This window comes from Homo sapiens, chromosome 3 (assembly GCF_000001405.40).
Source record: "Homo sapiens chromosome 3, GRCh38.p14 Primary Assembly".
Classification (NCBI taxonomy): Eukaryota; Metazoa; Chordata; class Mammalia; order Primates; family Hominidae; genus Homo; species Homo sapiens.
In genome coordinates, this window is record NC_000003.12 from 89391728 (window position 1) to 89415272 (window position 23545).

The window sequence follows — 23545 nt, forward strand, 5'->3', positions numbered from 1 at the left end:
CGGCCTATTTGTATTCTCTTAAGAAATATTTCATTTAAAATATAATCAATACCACTTTACAAAGTATATTATGTCTCCTTTCTTTATAGTTTTACAAAGGGCACATATATCAGCTGTATCCAGAATAGCAAAAATTAAAGATCAAATATTAATATTATTTCTCTCTCTTAAATACCAATACAACAAAAATGTATTTTACATACCAGACATTATTTTAAATTTGCTAAAAATTATTACCTTTATACGGTTTTAAATTTTCTTTTTACCAGTTTCTTCATTTGTTTTTCTACAAAACTATTTGCTAACTTGCGTCAATGCCTGCACCAGTTTCTCAGCATCCTATTCTGTCATCAACTTCTTTCTCTTAATAGGGGAACCATTTCAGTAATCTATCAATTAGTTTGTGTAAGAGGCAGAAAATTAAAAATCCGGAGGGGCGCAGTGGCTCACTCCTGTAATCCCAGAATTTAGGGAGGCTGAGGCAGTTGGATCAACTGAGATCAGGAGTTCGAGACCAGCCTTGCCAACATGCGAAACCCTGTCTCTACTAAAAATACGAAAATTAGCTGGGTGTGGTGGCACGCATCTGTAATCCCAGCTACTTGGGAGGCTGAGGCAGTAGAGTCTCTTGAACCCGAGAAGTGGAGGTGCAGTGAGCCGAGATTGCACCACTGCACTCCAGCCTGGACAACAAGAGTGAAACTCCATCGAAAAAAAAAAAACCTAGGCTATCAGGTCATTTACTGGCAATTGCGATTTTAGCATCTATACCAGCATTTTTGCCAAAAAATCCCTGAGATTTCTCTTCCTTCTTAATTTTGCCTGTAGCTCTCAGCATTTTTCCAGTCTTAAGGAAGTTGAAAGTTTTTTTTTTCCATTTTGTTTAACCATTAACTTCCATTCTCTCAAATTGCAAATTTAAAAAACAGAAGAATGAAAAGAAAATAAATCTGTCATACAGTGTACACTGCAATATCATGAATTTTTGTACAGAAAAACACTGATTTAAAGAATTTCTATGAATTTGCAAATTAGTAATTTGAACAAATCACTCTTTGATATCTGAAAATTAATGAAAAGCATAATTTGTATCACTTTCTCATTAATATTCTAAATTGTGTCACAGCACATAAAAAAATCGATAAATTATACCTCAAAACATGAATTAAAAAGTATTCTAGAAAACTTTTTAAAAGCATTGATACAATGGAGTGCCCAGAGAATTTGTCTCTTTCTCCATTATGTTTTATTATGTCCACATTATTTATCAGGGGAAAGAAAAACAATTCCTATTAATTATTTATTAATATTAAAATATTGATGAGTATTAAAAAGTACCGGGCTTCCAGCTGGTGTACTGAGTTGAACTTTTCTGAAATGCAGCCAGCACAAGGGGCGTGTATTAAAAGAGCAGAACAAATGACTTATTAGGGGTCCAAAAGCAGCAATCAGAAAAGGTTCATTTAACATAGCGATGGCACAAGCTTCAAGCAATTGCCTCTACTTAAGTAAGTGTGGAATTACAAAAGCCTATTTATTACAGTCCAACAGGGTCCTGCAGCTTGCTCAAAGAGCTTTGAAGAAATTCAACAGTTATAAAGTCCTGCTCAGTGCAGAAGCAGTAAAATTTGGACAGACCCCCAAAACAGCCCACAAAGCTTTCATGAAAAAGTTAATACAATCCTCATCGCAATTGTTCTTTGAAATGAATTGTTTTCTCACTTTTCTTTTTTTAAAGGAGAGATGCTGTACCTGGTTATTTTCAAAACTTCTTTGAAAATGAATTTTAACCACTAGGAAAAAATGAAAGTTTCATGGTGGTATCAAATTAAATGTAGGACCTCATGTGTTCCAACATTAAGCTTCTTGAAATGCTCTTGAAACCAACATTAAATGTGACTCCGTTAATGGACTTACTTCAGCAGAAAAATTAGTAGATTTCCTCATTGTAGAAAATGCAAAATTTGAGTCCAAAGACACTGGGGCTGAAATTTTTTTATTAGTGATTGGATAATGATTTGATTTTTCTAAGTATTAAAGTAAGCAAAAATAAATTTTTTTTTAAAAAATCCACATATCCATTTATTTATAATTCAGCAATACATTTATAAATATAGAATATGTTTATGAAGCTTCAACTAAAGTATAAGAAAAATAACTTATCTTTTGCTTGGAATCAATTTTAGAGAGCAAATTGCAGGGTTGTGGGGGTGAAGCCAATTTAGGGACTAAAATAGAGGATTATTGAATAGATGAAGAATTGATAATGAAAGGTAAATGATGTTAATTTGTATGAAAAGATATTAATTCCTAATGGGAGCAAAAAGTTGGTAAGAAAATGAATTTACTTTTTCATCAGAAAAGCAACACCTACATTTTTCCTTGGCAAAAGATTAAGTCAGGCCAAGTGTGGTGGTTCATGCCTGTAATTCTAGCACTTTGGGAGGCCTACCGGGGAGAATCACTTGAGCCCAGGAGTTCAGGATCAGCCTGGGCAACATGACAAAACTTTGTCTCTACAAATAATAAAAAATTAGCTGATTGTGGTGGCACAAGCCTGTAGTCTCAGCCAGTAGGATTGCTTTAGCCTGGGAGGTGGAGGCTGCAGTAAGCCGAGATCACATCACTACACTCTAGCCTGGAAAACAAGGGCAAAACCCTGTCTTAAAGAAAGAAAAAAATAATAAAAGATTAAGTCATCATTCCCAGGCCAATCCATGCTTCAATTAGAAGGTGTTCCTATGAGATCTCACAAATAATAAAACCCAGTTGATGGGAAATATTGCAGTAGATTCTATTTTTTGGTGTACAGTTTTCTCTGAAGTGGCACAAGGCAAGCATCATGAAAGTTTCTATTATAGGTGAAGAATAAAAATGAAAAGTGTTTATAGATAGGAAAGTTTGAATGAGAGGTCGGATGCAAAAATCATCATGTGATAATCATAGAAACATCAACAAATACAGAACTTCTGCTAACTTGTGGGAAATACAAATACATGAGGTTCTTATGGTCCTTGATTTGAGAAAAATCTATATAAAAATAAGTGCTTTAACAATGAAAACAATTCAACAGTTAATGTATCTAAAGATTCCTGAGTTTTTGTTTGTTGTGTGTTTGTAGTTTATTTTGCTGCATTCCATTAAGGCAGGGTGCCACTGAACTCCAGTGAGACATTTCGATTGGCGAGTGAACCAAGATTGAGATTTGAAAGCAGAAGTACTTTGATGATAGTATGCATTTTTCCTTTTAATGGAAGGGTTTGAAGAAGGAAATCACTTAAAATATTTTTAATCTTCAGTTAGAAATGAATTTGACCCTATGATATCTGATCCAAACAGATGGGGTTTTTATTCATATTCCATACTTTCGATAATGCTTAGCAAAACATAGCAAATGTAGAATCACCATCAAATAAGACATTTCAAAACATGTCTAGGTAATTGTAACACATATAGCAGTCATTTCCTTGGTACCTCTCATTAAGTATTTTTTTAAGAAATAAAACTGTACAAAAGAAGATTGTTGTTCCTTTTCTTTGTAGTCAAGAGATGTTTGTCAGAAGTCAAGGCCTACTGTAATATGTCCTAAATCATATCTATTTTACAATATACTAAATATTATTATTACCTATGGATACCATGGGACTCCTTGTGCATAATGGATTCCAGTCCTCTTGCAGAGCTGCATATGAAAATGTTATCAATGAGCTGAAGAATCTGGCATTAATAACTTTGCAACATTATAACAAATAGGTAGTCCTGATGTTTTGTTCTTTTTTTAATACATCAAATATATTTCATTGCTTACATTATAGTAGCAGATTGAAAACATCTGCTCACTTGCCACTAGTCCACCAGCAGCAGAGAATCTCAGCACATTTTCCCTAGGCCTGCATGTACCAGGGCTATAATCCAGCTGTTGAGTCTGGATATGGGGCCAGATTAATATTCAAGAGCCTTGGAAATGGAAATAGTGCTTTCTTGCCAAAAAACTGGAACAATGATAGACTCCATTTGCATGTTCCCTTCTCCCTCTGTTCTTATTCGCCACCCTTTCTAACCCATTAATTTGCTTCCTTCCACCTTCCCCTCCCATCCTCTCTTTACAGCTCCATCACCTGTCCTGACGATTAAGAAAGATCGGACCTCCAGAAATAGCATCTCTTTGTCCTGGCAAGAACCTGAACATCCTAATGGGATCATATTGGACTACGAGGTCAAATACTATGAAAAGGTGGGGAAACAATGTTTAAGGGTTGGGCTGTGTAGGCAAGAAGCTGTTTCCTCATGAGCTGTGCTCTTGCAAAGAAACCAGTGACATTCCTGGTAAATGGTAGAGCACTGTTTAGAACTGTGGCCCTGTGACCCCTTTGATTTATTGGTAGAGGAAGGTTTAGAAAGAATCTTGTTGAATACCCCCTATTCTACAGCAATAAACAACATCAAAGATGCCACTGCCAACTTAATCCAGTTACTTATGGCAATAGCATGACATTTATCTCCCTTTACACCAAGACCCCTACTCTACCAACTATTTTATTGTGGTTTCTTAGTCTATTTGTGAACTGTTTTTTTAGTTCATTGCCTCAAGCATCATTTCCTGACCTTCAAATTTACATGCATTTCATTCAATACAAATAGCAACATTGTGCTAGTAAGAAAAATATTGTATTATTTAACTGATGATGAAAAGATTTTCTTGACCCTGTAGAAGGAAATTTAAAAGGTTGGGGATAGATGGATAAATTTGCGTGACATAAAGTTGTGGCTTGGTAATGCAATTATTAAAAAAAATAGGCACATGGTTATTTTTACCCCAAATTTAAAAATTATTAAAAAATAGTTATGTGGTTATTTTGCCCTGAGTGGAGTGGCGAGTATTCCATCATTCTAAATAACTCATTTTTTTTCTGGTTGTAAATGATAGTAAAGTTTAAAGACAAGATATGTTTAAACCTTAGAATCACAGCTAGTTAGTTTCACAACTACTAACATGAACACTACATATTTGTGTATCTACTTCAGTTTATAAAGTGTGTTAAAATGAATTAAATGCAAATTGTGCATTTATATAGCAGTTTATATTTACAGAACATTTCTGTGGACATTACTTAAGTCTGAGCTGTATAACAACCTTATGGAAGTAGCAAAGTAAGTTGTTTTAGAAATAAGAAAACAGAGAGTGATGTTATATGAATTTCCCACAGCCTCATTGCTAATAAATATTAGGCATCTGTTTTGAATTGTGGCAGCCGTGAGTCCTCCTTTAGTAGGTTTTTCCCTATATCAGGTACCTTTTTCTACATGATAATAGATCCTTATAAGAATTATTGGCATAATCAACTGTGCAAACTGCGTAATGTAAAAACATTGTTTTGCATTATGTAGTTATTTCCTTGCTTGAAGTTAATATATTTCTCTAGTATAATGTCATTTTTTTCATAGTCTCTCTTACAGAAAGCCTAGAGTATATCTTTTTTATTAAAAGAAATTGATGCCAAATAAACTTCATTGTTCAAAAATTGTAGTAGAAATAAATTTTCTCCTAGCTTTGAGTCCTCTACTGTGGTAAAGTCAAATACTCATAGGATTGTGATCTATTTTCAGAAGTGTGACAAGATAGAATGGGCAAATATAATAATTCATGTTCATAAATGATGCCACAAAATTCTTAAAAATCAGTAATGTGCCTCAGTTCAAACTAGATTTCAGGACTGGGAGAAGAACACCTAACATTTAGATCTATGAGGTTGATCTCAAATTTTAATTGTATACATCTGCACCTTTCACAAACATGAGAAATATGCTGCCTTATTTCAAACTCCCTCAACAAATGCAACAAGCATCATTGCCTTTTTTTTTTTTTTTTTTTTGAGATGGAGTTTCACTCTTGTTGCCCAGGCTGGAGTGCAATGGCATGATCTCGGCTCACCGCCACCTCCGCCTCCCAGGTTCAAGCGATTCTCCTGCCTCAGCCTCCCAAGTAGCTGGGATGATAGGCATGCGCCACCATGCCCAACTAATTTTGTATTTTTAGTAGAGATGAGGTTTCTCCACGTTGGTCAGGCTGGTCTTAAACTTGTGACCTCAGGTGATCCACCCGCCTGGGCCTCCCAAAGTGCTGGGATTACAGGCGTGAGCCACCACCCCTGGACATTACTTTTAAACAATATTAGCTATTGCAGGAAAAAATGGTCAAATCTATTGATTATTCCCTAAGTATTTTTTGATACATACATACCTGTAATATTATTTAAAATATATTCCTTTAAATACATATTTGCATCACATATACCTAAATTTAAAAATTAATTCTAAATATTTATAGTATGCTTGGTAATATTTAGAAAGATTCTCTAGGATTTAAGGTCCACAAGGTCTAGATTTCTGGACTGGTTATTTCGCTGATGGTGATTAACAGTATATGTAATGTATGGCATGTTTTCTGTACTATTCAATCTCGTTTTGGTTGAGGATATACAGCGTTTCATATTATCCACTCTAGGTCCTACTCTAGGTGCAGGGACATTGTACCATTGCTTGAAATCAGGTTCCTCATAGGAGCTCTGTGTATAATAATATATGTGAGAGAAAAAACGTAATTCTTGATAAATTCAATTTTTGTAAACAAAGCTTGACACAAAGAGACCACTAAAATGTGTCGTGTGAATCTAATGTACAATGTGAATCTCCTAGAGATCCTTTTTGGGAAGCATTTCTAGCCTTTGATCTGGAGATTTTTGTCTCTACCAAACCACAGTGACTTAGATTAAATACAGCACAAATACAGTTAAGCTAAAAATAATGTAGAGCTACATATAAAACCTTGATTTTTTATGTTTAATATTTTAAGGTTGATAAAAAAAAGTTCTACTCCAGAATCAATAGAGCATTCCTATTAGGTTTAATTCAAAGGGATATTTTCTTCTTTGTAAGTTTGTTATTGGAATTAGATTTAAGCTTTCTCTCAGCCTTGACTTTGAAGAGAACATATCTTCTCTCACATATTTACTGGTTAGAATAAAGCCAAATTTTTCCTGCTTTACATGCAGGACAGAAATCATAATATTCAAATTGGGAAATTCTGTAAATATTTTTATTTTTAGAAATGCCCATGTTGGGACAGGTGCGGTGGCTCATGCCTGTAATCCCAGCACTTTGGGCGGCCGAGGCAGGTGGATCTCCTGAGGTCAGCAGTTCAAGACCAGCCTGGCCAACATGGTGAAACCTCGTCTCTACTAAAAATACAAAAATTACCTGGGAGTGATGGCGTGCACCTGTAGTCCCAGCTACTCAGGAGGCTGAGGCAGGAAAATCGTTTGAACCCAGGAGGCAGAGGTTTCAGTGAGCTGAGATCGCGCCACTGCACTCCAGCCTGGTGACAAAGCAAGACTTTGTCTAAAAAAAAAAAAAATGCCTAAGTTGCGTTCAGAGAATAAAATAATTGAAATAATCGATATGACTTTTTAAATCCATCCTATGATTTGTGTTAAAATATAAAAGAATCAGGTTTGAGTGGTTCACTGTTTATCATTTTATAGCATTATGAAGATTTGATTTTAACATGAATTTTTTTTTCTGACCTCAAAGCAGGAACAAGAAACAAGTTATACCATTCTGAGGGCAAGAGGCACAAATGTTACCATCAGTAGCCTCAAGCCTGACACTATATACGTATTCCAAATCCGAGCCCGAACAGCCGCTGGATATGGGACGAACAGCCGCAAGTTTGAGTTTGAAACTAGTCCAGACTGTATGTATTATTTCAATGCAGTCTAGAGGAGGGGGCAGGGATCTTGCAAAAGATGTCTGATCGTTTATTCTCACTGTTTCTAAGTTTTAAACAAATGTGATACATTTAAGGTATATTGCTTGGGACATTGCAATTTGCAGAGCCCTGTGTCTGTATACAGTATTTGTGTTTGTGTGGGTGTACATTTTGTGTTTCTTTTTTTCTTGTATGCAAATCAAACATATTCTAATGCCTGAAATGCTTCTGTTTTTTTTTTTTAGCCATAAATTGCTTTTGAGGAACATTATTTAATATAGTAACACACTTCCAGTGTCTGTCATTTCAGATATTCCAGGTTCATTGCGTGATTCAATGAACCACAAAAAAGAAACTTGCTGATCCATGAGAATCTTAATTTTGTTTTAATCCTTAACACATTCAATAGCATATCACAGAGAGAATAAGGATTTTCTAAAATGTGTTTTATCACTTCATTCACATTCAGAAGTAATTTGAATAGCCTGTTCCTTTAACCCCAAATTTGGCTAAAATTGGCCTAAAACTGGCAAACATTTTTCCAGTAACTTTTCTTTTTTTCAAATGAATTTTCTTCATACTTAAAAAAGCCCTTTGCTAAAATATAATTTTCAAAAAGGTAAAATTATGTCTATGGCACTAATATAAAATGAGTAGAAGTTAATGATTTTACTTAACTCATTTTTTTCTTTCTTTCTTTTTTTTTTTTTTTTTTTGAGACGGAGTCTTGCTCTGTCACCCAGGCTGGAGTACAGCAGAGCGATCTCGGCTCACTGCAAGCTCCTGCAAGCTCCGCCTCCTGGCTTCACGCCATTCTCCCCCTCAGCCTCCCGAGTAGCTGGGACTACAGGCGGCCGCTACCATGCCCGGCTAATTTTTTGTATTTTTGGTAGAGTCCAGATTTCACCGTGTTAGCCAGGATGGTCTTGATCTCCTGTCACCTTGTTAGCCAGGATGGTCTTGATCTCCTGACCTCGTGATCCGCCCGCGTTGGCCTCCCAAAGTGCTAGGATTATAGGCGTGAGCCACCTCGCCCGGCTGTTTAACTCATTAATTAATAAACAGATTAGCAAGAGATTAAAACCTGTGCTAAGAAAAACTTGAAGAACAGATACATAATTATGTGTGTGTGTGTGTGAGCGTGTGTGTGTGTGTGTGTGTGTGTTTAGGTAATCATAATATGCTAAAAATGTGCTAATATATCCCACACTGGTTAATATCCAATGAGGGTAATAAATGTAATGATTGAGGTCATCTTTCTTACAGGGCACAAACCAGTTGTCTTTCTAGTAAATAAGTGTTATTTCAATTGTTAAAGGAAAAAGGATATATATCACTATCAGTTTTCTACAACTTAAATTCACTGTTGTAAGGTAGCCTAGAAAGATGAGCAAAGATGCACACCCTTTAGAAATAGATTACCCAGGAAAGGTCTGACAATGCTCAACACTCTGCTGAATGGAATATAATAATCTTCTGACCATTCCCATTTCCCATTCTTCCCTGACACCTGTACTTCCCATTTTCTAGATAGTTAGTTCCTGACATAAAATCTCATTGTTACTGGTATATTTTTGTGTCCAAATTTGATACCTGATAAAAACTTTCAGGATTGACCTAAAAATATAAGAATCATTCTAGTTATATAGTATTTATTCCATCAAGTTTACTCATGTTGGAGTACATATTTTATGGCACACTTTCTGTCGGACAATTAGAAATGCTGCTTACAATAAGGAGCTATAAATTTCACCAGGTATTGAAATGTTAATGTTTTTAGAAATCATCTGCTCATAGCTGAACCATGACAATTCTACTCAAAGGAGAGCTGCCATCCTCAAATACGTAAATCTATTCTTAAAGACTTCTTTTAATCCTCACAATAAAATGTGTATGGAGAAATCACCCTCAGAAGATATTAGAAACAAAACATGAAGTATGATGGAAATAATGCAAGTGCCAACAAGGTTTAAAACAAATTAAAAACTTTAGATGGCTCAATAATAAAATATAAGTGTAACTTAACATTAGTACTTCTAAGACTTTTTGCAAATGTTAAGTGGTACGAAGAAAGTTTCTCCTTTTGAAATGATTACAGATTAACTTTTCTCAAAATCTCTTTCTTTTTTTGTGACAAAATCCTGCTCTGTTGCCCAGGATGGAGTGCAATGGCATGATCTCAGCTCACTGCAACCTCTGCCTCCCTGACTCAAGCAATTCTTCTGTTTCAGCCTCCCGAGTGGCTGGGACTACAGGCTCATGTGCCCACGTCTGGCTAATTTTTTTTGTATTTTTAGTATAGATGGGGTTTCACCATATTGGTCAAGCTGATCTTGAACTCCTGACCTCAGGGTGATCCACCCACCTCAGCCTCCCAAAGTACTGGGACTTAAATGAATATTTGAAATAACAGCAATAACAAAATCTATATTTGATTTATCAGGAGAGATCCGAAATCATAGAATTAGCAAAAGCTAATATTTATTGTGTCCTGTGGTAGAAATCAGGCATATTATGAGGCAAAAAGCTCAGATCACTATTAGATAAACATGTTTTATGCATATTTGGGAACATCCCTCTAATATTACATGGTCTTAACACTTAACCCTCTCTGATAAGTAAATTTGCAAAAACAATATATTTTAAAATTGTAATGTAATTCCAGATTTACCACAGATATTGCTGTGGTAGCATTTATGCATAACCTTCTAATGAGGCTTCAGTGTCTGAGGTTTAGGAAATATCTCATTCGAAAACTGCAGGGCCTTAGGATTTTTGCCAAGTAAGTTTTGTATTAGCAATGCTTCCATTGATTGAGAGAGAGAAGAGGAAAAAAGGATGGAAAAATATGAGCCTTTTTCTCCCTCCTCATTTATTTAAAAACTGTGAGTTACACATTTTAATCTTTTTACAAAAGTTAGTTTACTTTTGCCCTTATTTCACCATAATATTTCCAGATTTTAAATATAAATGAGAAAAAAATGCCTTTTGTCTTAGGAGGTAAAAGACAAAATTTTTTTTGTCTCACTCTCCCTATTGTTTTTATTAAATCAAAATGACATATTCCTAAATGCTGTAAGTATTTAATAAGACTCTTATTTGTTATATATTGATTTTTTTAAAAAATAGACATAAGACTTCTGTTTGTATTTAACAGTTTGCTTTTTCCCTCTCGTTTTAATATTTTATTTTATTTATGTATTTATTTATTCTTTTTTGAGACCAAGTCTTGCTCTGTCGCCCAGGTGGGAATGCAGTGGTGAGATCTCAGCTCCCTACAAAATCCGCCTCCTGGGTTCAAGCGATTCTATAGCTGGGATTACAGGCATGTGCCACAATGCCCAGCTAATTTTGGCATTTTTAGTAGAGACGGGGTTTCACCATGTTGGCCAGGCTGGTCTTGAACTCCTGACCTCAAGTAATCCGACTGCCTTGGCCTTCAAAAGTGCTGGGATTACAGGTGTGAGCCACCGTGCCCAGCCGGTTTTAATTTTGTAATTACATAAGAATGTCTCATTCATGACATGTATGCATATTTCTTGGTAGAACACAATGTATTTTGAGCTGGAATTTAGATAACATTTTCTGAACTTTATAGGGAAGAGATGGAGGCAGAGCAGAGCACATATTGTTTTCTAAGTGCTTTAAAATATCTTATTTTTGTATGTTGGTATTTTATATTTATTATCATCTTCATTTTACAGTTGAGGAAACTGAGACAAAGGGAGGTTAAGGAAGTTTTCCAAAGTCACACAATTGGCAAGGGATACATCAATTCCAGAATCCAGGTTTCTACATGACAGTATATAAAGCAGTATGATAAACATTTCATTTGATTCTGTTCTATAAGTTATTCAGATACTATTGTATCCTTTTATACATGATCCAAGATACAGATTTTGTGTGTTTTTTTTCTGAGTTTACATATGTAGTCAGATGGGGCAACAAACCTAGAATCTCCAGGTTTTGAAGTCTTGAACCGTGCAATTATTGCACATGAAAAAAAAAATACTAAGCTAAGACCCATAGAAAGCATGGAGTATAAAAGAGTAAAAGGATTTTCCTAGCATGAAGGTAGCTTCCACCAATACAAGAAGTACAGACATTAGGGCATGTTTGGAAAAGCAGATAGTCCAATTGTTTGGAAACCCTCAGTGGGGAAAAACTGAAGCCATGGTGTGTGCTTTGTGCACAAGAAAATCAGGGATAAAGTGAAAGTTAAGATCAAATACATTAGAGCAGCTGAGCATTATTAGGGTGAACTTGACAAGTCATTTCAAGTCTCCGTGTCTCAGTTTTTCTATCTGGAAATTGGGGAACATCATGTGATAACTCATGAGATTTTAATGTTTATTAAATATGTTATTACTTGTAAAGTGCTTAAAATAGTACCTCATATAGCCTCATATAGTAGGTACTCACTGTGCATGTGTGTTGTGTTTAAACAAATAGTCCGTAATTTGAACATCTGAAGAATTTCAAGAATAACAATCTGTGGAATAAAGTTGAGTTTTAAAATTAGAGGATTTCATTGGATATTATTATGAAGAAGACAACCCCAGGGATAATTAAATTAGCGCTCCCGAAAGCCTCACACCCTCATTATTTGTTGTTTTGAAGAGTAAAAATGGTACAACTTTACTTTCTTGGGCCCTATTACTAGGGAACATAAAGGAAGCCTGACAAAGGGAGAATGGAATCATTAAATGGAGAAATTTCTATATAAAAATTAGGCATTCATCATCTATCATTTTGTAGGAAATAGAGTACTTTTGCAAAGTTTTAACCAGGGAAATGATATAAACAATTGTAACATTTATTGAGCACTTAATATATGCTTGGCACTACTGTAAGTGTTTTACTAGTACTAACTCATTTAATTCTCAAACAACAAAATTATGTCACACAGCAAACAAATATAAATCCAGGAGTTCTGACTCAAAAGAATGAACTCTGAATCACTCTTTTGAGAGAGAAAGCCAGCACTCTGTGTAGGATGGAGTAAAATGGAAATGAATAGAAACAGAGGGAGCAGAAAACAAATTCAAGTTGAATTATTAAGAAATGTAATAGCTATCAATTACATTAAATTATTAGACACCTATGTAACTCATCACTATTAGTCATTCACATATTTGCTAATTTTAGCAATGGAAATGATCTGATTTAGTTATGTGCTTTAGATAGCCTCTGTGAGTCATATATTTTAGAGACAGAAAAAACTGTGGAGAAATCCTAGTTTAATTCTGTTTTCAACAGAAAAAGAAATAGATAATTATTTTTTCTCCTATCATAGTTCCCTTCCCAGTTTCACTGAGCTTTATTTTATAAGCTGGCTAATCAAAATAACCACAGAATTCAAACCTTGCTGCTTTCTATAAATTATTACAGTATGCAAAGTGAAAAGCATGAGTTCAAGTCACCACTATATGTTTATGGAGCATTTTTGAAATATTGGATTAAGCTATTTCACAAATCATTCACAGATCTGTAGCCAATGGATAGGGATGTAACAGCCAGATGCTCTGGGAGGAAGATACAAAGATGAAACTATAAGAGCTTTATAGGAGAAATATTTGTGAAGGATAAAAGGCAGATGGAGCTGAGCCAGGCAAGCAGAACCTCAGACTGAGATGTAGGTCTGTCATTTATAAAGGCAAGGAGGGAAAGAAGAAAGAGTTGAGGAGGGGAAGCCCCAGACAGCAGTGCAGCTCTGAGGGTTTTGGCCAAGCCGATGGGGAGTTTCAGAGCACAGATCACCCATTTGAGGAGTGTTGCATTGGGCAGGGATGGCCAGGCTCCAGTAACCCTTTGCCAGTACTGTTAAGTCACTAAGGGGTACATAACCTGTGCTTGAAGGCTGTAGCTGAAGGTGCTGCAGCTGGAGGCTGTCTGCTGACTGTACTCTCTGCAGCAGGAACATCTGAGCAAGCACTCCTGTGACTGCCATAGAGGTATAAACAATAGTTTGCTGGTAGTAAAGAGTAAAGGGCTTACAACAGTTTATATTATGAGTGTGCCATCCTGCCACACTCTGAGCACTTTTCTTCAGATGCTGCTCACAGGAAACTCCTAACAACCTATCTGTCACGTTTCTTTTCTTGCATTATTTAACTAACCCTAAAACCACATATTTTAGAGAAAATCTTCCAAACTTAGATTTGTTCAGGCTGAAGATGATATGTTGGCTCCTGGGGAGGTGATAGTATTCAGATAACTAAAATCTGCTCTTCTTTTGAGTCCTGAGGTATTCATGTACTTAATCAGCATTTACCGCAAGAACAACATATGCAAATAAGAGCATAAAAGAGGCTGTTCCAGGAATTGTGTGTATTTTAAAATATCTAGAGATTAGGATGCTTATGGAGTTTGTAGGAGATGTGGCTGGGGATTTAAACATGAAACAGATTCTAAATGGCTTTTACACGCTCTGCTATGAAATTTGCATCTTATCCTGAAAGTTATAAAGAGCCAAAATTTTCCTATGCAAAACTTTTATGCATAGGAATGACATGGTCAAATTCATGGTTTAGAAGGAATATTCTGAAAGATAAAATGTGTGGAAAGCATACAAATAGAGACCAAATTAGGAATTTCTAATTATAATTCAGAAGATAAATGAAGACTTAAACTAGGATATTTAAGAGTGTTTGGTGATTAACTGGAGGCAGAATGATTAGGAGATGGAGAGGAGAAGGTTATTTTATATTTATGGTCTAGATTCTTGCTCCTCAAAATGTTGTGGTCTGGAATCAGCAGAATCAGCACTGCCTGTGTGTTCATAAGAAATATACAATCTCATTCCCCACTCCGGAATGACTGAATCTGAAACTGCTTTTCCAGAGATTCTTGAGTGGTTTTTGTGAACATTAAAGTTTGAGAAGCATTGGTCTGGGTCAAGAGTCAGTAAACTTTTTTCTGTAATAGGCCAGATAATAAATATTTTAGGCTTTGTGCACATCATTCTCTATTGCTGCTACTCAACTTGCCCATTCTAGCATAAAATCAGTCATAGACAATATACAAATTAATGAATGATTGTGGCTATATTCCAATAAAATTGTATTTATAGACAGCAAAATTTGAATTTCCTAGATTTAGAATTTTCACATGTCATGAAATCTCATTCTTTTGACTTTTTACAACTGTTAAAAGAAATGTGAAACCATTCTAAGCTCGTGAGCTGTACAAAAACAGGGGACGGGCAAGATTTGGCTCCTGGGCTTTTTTGCCAACCATTTGTCTAGGTGAATAAATGGGCCATTTATAAAGGTAGGAAATAGAGGGACAGTTTGTTGGTGGTATGTGTTGAGGTCCATGTATTATATCACTTTTCAAATGAATATGGATATTGGAGTTAAAACAAGCTTAATTAGAAAGCTTTTTATAATTGTATGCTGAGAAATCTTCCTCTCTTCTCTAAGATCCTCCCATAACTTCTGGTTCATTCAACGAGTTTTTTGCCATTGAGGACAGAGAAACCCAGTACAGCATATTTTGGACAGGAGACATTTAAATAATGTTTGATTGATGTCATTGAAACAAAGTATGTACCCATATTAATTAGGTAGAAATTTCAAGCAAAATTATGGGAAATGTCTATTTTTTTAAACATTAAGTAAAGAATACTTTCAACATTGTATCAGACATTAAGCCATACTTCAGGTAAAAGTAGAACACATATTAATTAATTAATGAATCAATCAACTGTTCCATGTAGATGTTAGTCATGATTATAATACCTGTTCTTATTTTTTCTCTTCAACCTCACAGCTTTCTCCATCTCTGGTGAAAGTAGCCAAGTGGTCATGATCGCCATTTCAGCGGCAGTAGCAATTATTCTCCTCACTGTTGTCATCTATGTTTTGATTGGGAGGTGAGTTCACAGTCTGTTTCACTATTCACTTTCTTTGTTGCTTTGTTTGCTGCCACTGATTGCTGTTAAAATGTGAAGAGTGTGCTCAATAAAATATTTTAACAAATAAGAATGTCTCCACTTGTAGTTTAGGTCCTCTCTTTCTCCTCCTTTTCTTTGTTTCTCCATCCTTAGTTTTGATTTTCTGCTCTACATTAAATTCCTGTCCCCACTCTTTTAACATACACCCCTCCTCTTCTCTCTTCTGACACTACTCCTAGTTTTTACTTTCTTTCTCTAATTATCTCCTCACTCTTCAAATAACCCCAGATTTCCTTGACACTTTCTCACCCAGAACAGGGGTAACACTGCACAGCACTAATCATTACCCATAGAGACTTTACCCTTCATTCCTTCTAACAGAAGTTGTTAAAAAATACTATAAACACATTCTAAAGCCATTATAAAAACTGAACTGGAGGGTCTGCACAGTGGGAAGCAACTCTGTGTATCTCCTCATTAGGCAGCTTTCCAGGGTTCCCAGAGAGAGGGGCTTTCTTCAGAGGATTTTGAAAATATGAAGTTATTAAACTTTCACTAAAGCATTTAATTGTTTGAGGAAAATGTTTTATTTTTATGCTTTGCACATTCTGAGCATAGGTAACTATTTTAAATATATTCCTCTTATGTGTTCGCTTTCCTTGATTTACCTCCAGGTTCTGTGGCTATAAGTCAAAACATGGGGCAGATGAAAAAAGACTTCATTTTGGCAATGGGCATTGTAAGTTTCTAAACTTGGCTTTTTGTTTTGCTTCACCGTTTTAGCTTTAGCAGTTATTGATTTACAATTGGTTAACTTCCTCCTGACAAAGAGACTTCAAAAGTAGTTTTATGGAAAAACTGAGTACATTAAATTTATTTTAGAAAAAGAGGGAAATTCATGGTTCTGCATTAAATAATTTTTACATGTGTACATTTCAGCATACTTAAGCTAAAATAAAGGGTAATCTGTGGTTTACATTCAAATAACGCACATGCTAGGTAGTAGAAACTAGTCTGCTCTGCATGGCTGAAATGCAAAGCGTATCTTCAATTTCCTTATTACTAGTCCTTTGCTAAACTCTAAATAGGAGACTTTTCTCTTTCCTAACTGCCAAGTAAATATAAACAACCTCTGTTTATTTGAAGTGCCTTATCCCATTTTATCAACCAACCTAGAAAGAGCCTTTAAAATAAACTGTTTATTTTGCAGTTACATGATATCCAACTAGTAGTAAAGCCAGAACTTTCTCTCCACATTTTAATTTACCCTTTTAATTTTTTTTAAATACACATTTCAGAAACAAAGTGTTTACAACTAACAAAAAGACTTTTTTTCTTTTTCTGGTGAAACGAATCATTCCAGGTGTTTTGCGTTCCAAACTATGGCTCAGCTTAGTGTGGCAATTACTAATCAGTAGCTTAAATAGCATGTTCTCATGGAAATTAGTACAAAGACTGTACTCATGCTTATGTGCTCCAAAATAATCTCAATATAACTAATGTAGTCTTGTAAGCATTAATTTTTTTAGTATTCACTATTGCCTTCTAAAATTATTTGCAAATTGACATGATACTTTGTATCAGCCGTTGGATTATCATCTAAAAATGATAGCTTTAGTTGTAACTCAAGTAAAAAACTTGACTACCTGTTGCTAACCTGCAGGAAGCATACAGTAGCTTGAAAATAATGCCTTTCAAAATATAAATTGATATGAGAAGAAAGCAGTATAGGAGTTTGAAGAAGCATTATTTTGTTCATCCAATTGCAGCGTCTATAAAATAATTCACACAAAAAAGCCAAAGTACTACATTCCTAAAATCAACATCACATCAGTCCAGATTAATTAGGTGACCAACTCAAAAGTCTAAAAAGAATGCCTGAACAAGTTACAGGATCCTTGTCTTTCTTTTTCTCAATGGGCCCACAAAACACTAGTGTTACAATTTTTATGCATAAATTAGAGCAGTGGCATTCTTGTGGATTAAGTCACCCTCAATTTGACTTGGACAATTGTAAATATCATCTTTAGAGCAAGACCATGCTGATTTGATTTTTTTTTTATGGGAAGCCTACATCTTACGAATTTTGAGCTTTGGTAAATTTCTGTGTGCCAATTATTAAACAGGTTCCTCTATCGTCCCAGTCTGTTTTGCTATTGTTTTTATGGTGGATTTTTGTTGAAACTTTAATTTTTTTCAAATGCACAATATCCTTATGACAAACAAAAGAGAAATGCATTTCATCCTGGCTGCAAAGGCATAAAGTAACTTATATGCATGTCATAAACTTTCTGCATCTTAATACTACAGCTGGTTTATTTCAGACCTTTTATTTGGTATTACTTTAAAAAGCTCTAGCTACGAACTGTTCCCTACAGCCTTGTTACAAATCCTATAATATTGCTTCAAAAGGAAAGAAATGTGTTTCACCTCCTAAGATCCTGTCCCCTTGCCCTTTCTGGCTGGGCCTTTTTACTTCTTTGCTATCCTTAGGGCAACTCATGCTGGTAAAATGGAAATGTAAATTATTGTGTTTGCACAGAATGAGCTGTAAAGTAGTGCAGCTTAACACGTGTGCATGTGTTTATTACCTGGTTTTCATGACAGAGCCCAGTTACTCTGTATGTTGCCCTTAATTATTGGTGTGAAGGGATTATGTGCCTCGCAGCCTGAATCACCTGATTCCTGGAATCTCTGGGGTCAGCAGTTAAAGATCAGCAGCCAGTGCTTCTACAGCGAACAGACCATTTTACTTGGGGGTGTATATGTTTATGTTTGTTTTTTTCCCCCAAATGTCTTATGGATGGAAAAGAAATTCACCTTATTTTAATTAATAGAAATTAATAGGATTCATTTTATTTGGGAATGGTTATTTAATTTTCAAATTATTTAGTAATAGTAGTATTGCATATAGGTATCCATCATACATATATTCTCTACAAGCTGACTGGTACTTAAGGGTAAATCTAAATCACACAATTTCAAGTCTGTTTAAGGCCAATGCTTATTTAAAATATGTGAGACATTGTTCCTAACAACTCATTTTATAATCTTTGTAAATTCTGATGGCAGGAAATCTCCCCCACGTTAATTTCCTTAACTTCAGCAAAGTAAAGGAGTTATAATTATGTACAAAACAGTTCCATTTTACCTTATGCTTAAAGTATCATTTTATTTCCTTGAAAAAGATTGCTAGATTTCTTTACCTTACTGTTACTAAGTAAAGGCAAATAAAAACTGGAAGATCACACATTATAGGGTTGATCTGATATGAGTTTTCATCCTTAAAATGTAACTAAATTGACTAAATGAAAAGACTCCAACAAGATTTTATTTCCTAACATATTTTAGTAATGGTTACTTACTTTTACAATTTTTCTTACTCCACATCTAGAAAAGTATGATAGCTTTTCCTTAATCTTAAAGAAGTTTCTTCTTTTAAAGGTAAAGGGTTTTAGTACTGGTAATGTTAGAAGTTATTTTAATGTAACAATAAAGCACAACAGATTACTGTATTAAAGGGTGACTCTCCCATCTGTATTTATAGGAAGGATTCATGCTTATATGGAAGAAGCATATAAGCTGATCTGTGAGCTCAAAAGTAATGGACATTTCTAAGTCTAAATTCTACCATTAGGAAACATCAATTATATTAATAATTGTAAATAAATGTTCTTAACAATAAAAACGCTCATTAGGGCAATGAGCTCTATCAATACATTGAGTGAGAACTATGCAACAGTTTCTCATGCTAGGCATTTGAATAGTATAGCTTTTTTTTTTTCTCAGAGCCCTAGCTTGTCTTTTTTGCCAAGATATTCAAGATGAAAAACTCTAAAAGTGAAGTTCTCACTTCAACAGCTACTCCACTCAGAGTTTGTCCAAAGCAAGGGACAGAACTTGTATTTCCCCATTTCTGTGGATATTGACTTCTAGATAGTGGTGTCCTTTCAAATTATCCACACCTCGCCTCAAGCTGGATAGCAGCTGCTCTTTTGTTGTAGCTGTATCAGCACCAGGCAGAAGTAGGAGTCGTGTTAGCTTTTCTTCTGCATTCCCTATTTGCCCTCTCACCACCATCCCTGCTTTCTATTATGCTGTGTCAAAGTCATGCAAATAATAGCTGAGGAAAATAGAGTTTTTACCCAACCTCTCTCTCAGCCACCATTTCTTTTACAACAGTTTATTCTCACACTTACGTTTTTTTACTCAAAATCTCTATGAAAGCTTCACAAGAACATAAATCGTAATGCATTATAACCATGGGTTTCATGAAGTTGTCTTGTAGTTCAAAGAATTGATCATTTGTTAACACATACTGTGAAATCCTAGACTTGTTGGCCTAATGTTCATTGTACTGAGGCTTCCCAGAAAAACTGCGGGCATCTGCAGTCTCCACAACTATTTAATACAAACTACAAAACTAACTCAAAGAAACGATTGGTTCACGCAGGGTGTTCAATTGCAACTTTCCCATAATTCTCCCATTATGAAGTAATATTGGAAACAGTAATATCTGATTTCATTTGTTATAATTTAATGTAATGAATGAAAATATATTTCACTATTAAGTATCCATATTCTGTGCTAAAACACACTATTAAGTATCCATATTCTGTGCTATGAATGTTATCAAAATTAAAAGCAAAATCAGTAGTCTTAGCAGATATACCATAGGAGTTACATTGCAATTTCCTTTAATTTTAGATCATATTTATATAGTTTAGTAGATCTTAGAATCACTTTTTTAAAACTCAGGGTTTTTGTTTAGAGAAAGTTAATTTATTGAAAATTGCAAATTGTCTCCACTGTTATTTTTCCAAATTATAGGAATCTTATTAATATTAAATCAAATTAAAATGATTATCCTGTATCAGTTGTCTGTAATATTTTAACTACAGGATATGAACATTTTTACCTTCAGAATAATTTAATGAATAAATATAATATGAAGGAGATTTTTATTTAATAAATTACATATATGACTTACGTTTGGAACTTAGCTCCTTAGCGCCATTATTCAACTCATAGACAATATTTATTTTACTTCTAATTATGTTATAAAGCTATACAATATGATTATATTTAACTGATACTATATTGGTGTGTATACATGTATGTATTATATATACACACCAATATAATATATAATACATACATGTATACACATACTAACAGCTTAAAGTAGATTTGTAATTACAGTGGGACATTTTGATTGTGAATGTTAATATAAGCAGTACAGTGTCAGAAGGTATGCCATTATATATCATTTAATTTATCTATAATTGCAGCCATTATCTCACCTTATAATTGTATTGAATTATTTTCCAATCTTGCATTGTAATACATATCTGGTTATTATAACATTTGTGTAATCATAAATATGCAATAGCATAATGGTGTTCACTCACTGTTGCTCCTGGTAGTAATGACTAGGTCTAATCAGTTCTGAATTATCTTTCTTCTTAAGATCCCCTTTTTTGAGTATGCATTTTCCTTCTGATGTTTTTGCAAAGAAAGCTCCTCATTGTGGTTCCTTTATATAATTCATCATAGAGAACATGTTTTCTTAAATTTTTCAACACAGTCCAATGTCACTGCCAGTTTCTGTGATACTACAGAATAAACTGAAGGTTGTGCACCTTATGGGGTAGGGATTTTTTTAAACCAATAATGCCATAAAATTTGATCTATAATTGTTTGTACAAATCTAGCTACAATTGCGCCTTTCTTTCTTTCCTCAAACAGTAAAACTTCCAGGTCTCAGGACTTATGTTGACCCACATACATATGAAGACCCTACCCAAGCTGTTCATGAGTTTGCCAAGGAATTGGATGCCACCAACATATCCATTGATAAAGTTGTTGGAGCAGGTAACCACAATGACCCTACTGCCAACTTAGTACTGTATGTGAATCACGATTGCTCAGTCTCTGAAACCTAAGTATATTGCTAAAGAAATGGGAATTTTCTGATTTCATGATCAAAGGCAAGTAATAAATAAGTGCAATATTTAATGGAATGTAATGAGTTCAAAGGTGCCAGACTTACCGGCTCACAGACCATGGCTGCTTTTGATTTATTAAATTTCTGATGTGACAGCAGCAACAACTCAATCTTCCCATAGCTGTGCTGATCGTGTGTCACAAAACCTATTTGGCTAAATAAGGATAACTGGATAAAAGTCTATTTCAATTTAGACAACCCAGGTAATTTGAAGTTTTCATTTTCAATTTTAGAATCATGTTTGGAATTAAAAGAACAAACAACACAAAGTAATATCATGACTCATCTTACATAAATTTTATCACAACTATCTTGGGTGGATATTTTAAATAATATAAGGTGCTCCATTTTAATGCTTGCTTGACTTTGAATAGTCTTATGTGTTAAAGCTTTTTTTAATAAATATACCTTTGTTCTAATTATTAATTTAAACAATGATAAATTTGTTAACAATCACCTATTAAGTGGTTAATAACAGTTGCATATTTATAAGAAAAATTTCATATATTTGTAAAATAACAGTATTTTATATATTTACACATAAACACATGATATGTGCAGTATGCATGGAAGTAAAACTACTATTCAAAAGTAAAAATGAACCATGCTCAACAATAAAAAATTTTGTACCATCATCTAATCCTTCAATGTCACTCCCCAAAGCAAACATAAACTAGTTATGTTGATACAGGAATTCTCTGTGTAACATCAGATCACATTTTCTGCAAGTACCGTATTTACATATTTATGAGTGATGTGTCTTTACAAAAATGTACATGTAATGCTTTGTTTCTTTTTCTATACACCAAAGTAGTACTGAAAAATCAAGCAGTAGTTAGTATGCGAACAGGACAATCTTGTAAATATAATGTTAATTTACTAGAGCTTCTCTTCTAATTATCTTAATTTCTTATCCTAAAATTTACATGTGCAGGTAATATTAAAATATGAAACTTGTGTTCATAGAAAGAAAATGGAGTAGTAACTTCTTTTTTACAATCTAAGACTTGAGAGTAAACATATTCGCTGTACATCTGTGCTGATCCAGTGCCAAAACAGATATATATTGTTTACTCTGTTTCATTTCTTCAGTCCTGACTTCTGAACAGCTCCATGATGCAGAAGGGTTTAGTCTGGCTGGTTTTAATGTTTCCTCACAAGAGTGCACTTTTCTCCAGCACGGAGCCTGCGGTAGCAAATGCAGCACGAGGACTTTGAACACTCAACTGGAGAATATGTTGAGAGGAGGAAAAGGTTACTTATGCTAAGCCACTGTCCAAAAGCCAGGCAGACATTATTATGATGTTGAAATTTAGGTACCTCTCCACTGATAAAATATCTTTATATAGTTATTATTGACAGACTCAGATATACAGAACATAGTGATTTGGGAAAAAGCACACCACTGAAAATAGCAGCTGATAAATGAGATAAGGGGAGGTCTATTTATACTGAATCACTTAATCCCTGATGCTCATTAAAGATTAGAATAGAGCCTCCTTCCTATTTCTGTCTTCAAGTATATATGTTAATGATTAGATATATGCCCATGTTCAGGGTTTTGCAGCCAATATTCACATTTGCCATGTTAAGAACAACAAAACTGTACTTATTTGCAAATAGGTATACCTTCAAGGTTAGTTATACTTTTCCTGAAATAATTCAATACAATATACACACCCAATTCTAGACTGCCTTGATGACCTTTCAGAGGGTTTGTATTTACCAAGTTAGAAAATGAAATTATTATTCCTAAAAGCTAACAATTTGTTAAACATTTTGTTTTGTAAAATGTAAAATATGTACACAAATAAATTAAATAGTGTAATAATAAATAAACCTGTATGTTACTCATTTCTAAAATAGCTTTTAT

General features: G+C 34.4%; 1 protein-coding gene across 5 annotated transcripts in view; it reads left to right on the forward strand.

Moving 5' to 3' along the window:
- The window catches only part of EPHA3 (EPH receptor A3), a 374514-nt gene that overhangs the window by 284107 nt on the left and 66862 nt on the right, over positions 1-23545 (forward strand). For 2 of the 5 annotated variants that reach the window (NM_005233.6, NM_001410778.1), the window contains exons 6-10: positions 4110-4234; positions 7591-7753; positions 15542-15644; positions 16340-16404; positions 21414-21539. In NM_005233.6, coding sequence (NP_005224.2) covers positions 4110-4234; positions 7591-7753; positions 15542-15644; positions 16340-16404; positions 21414-21539 — 582 coding nt within the window. Of the gene's footprint in view, positions 1-4109; positions 4235-7590; positions 8619-15541; positions 15645-16339; positions 16405-21413; positions 21540-23545 lie in introns of those variants that run through there. The other 3 variants (XM_005264715.4, XM_047447673.1, NM_182644.3) reach the window with 2 other exon arrangements.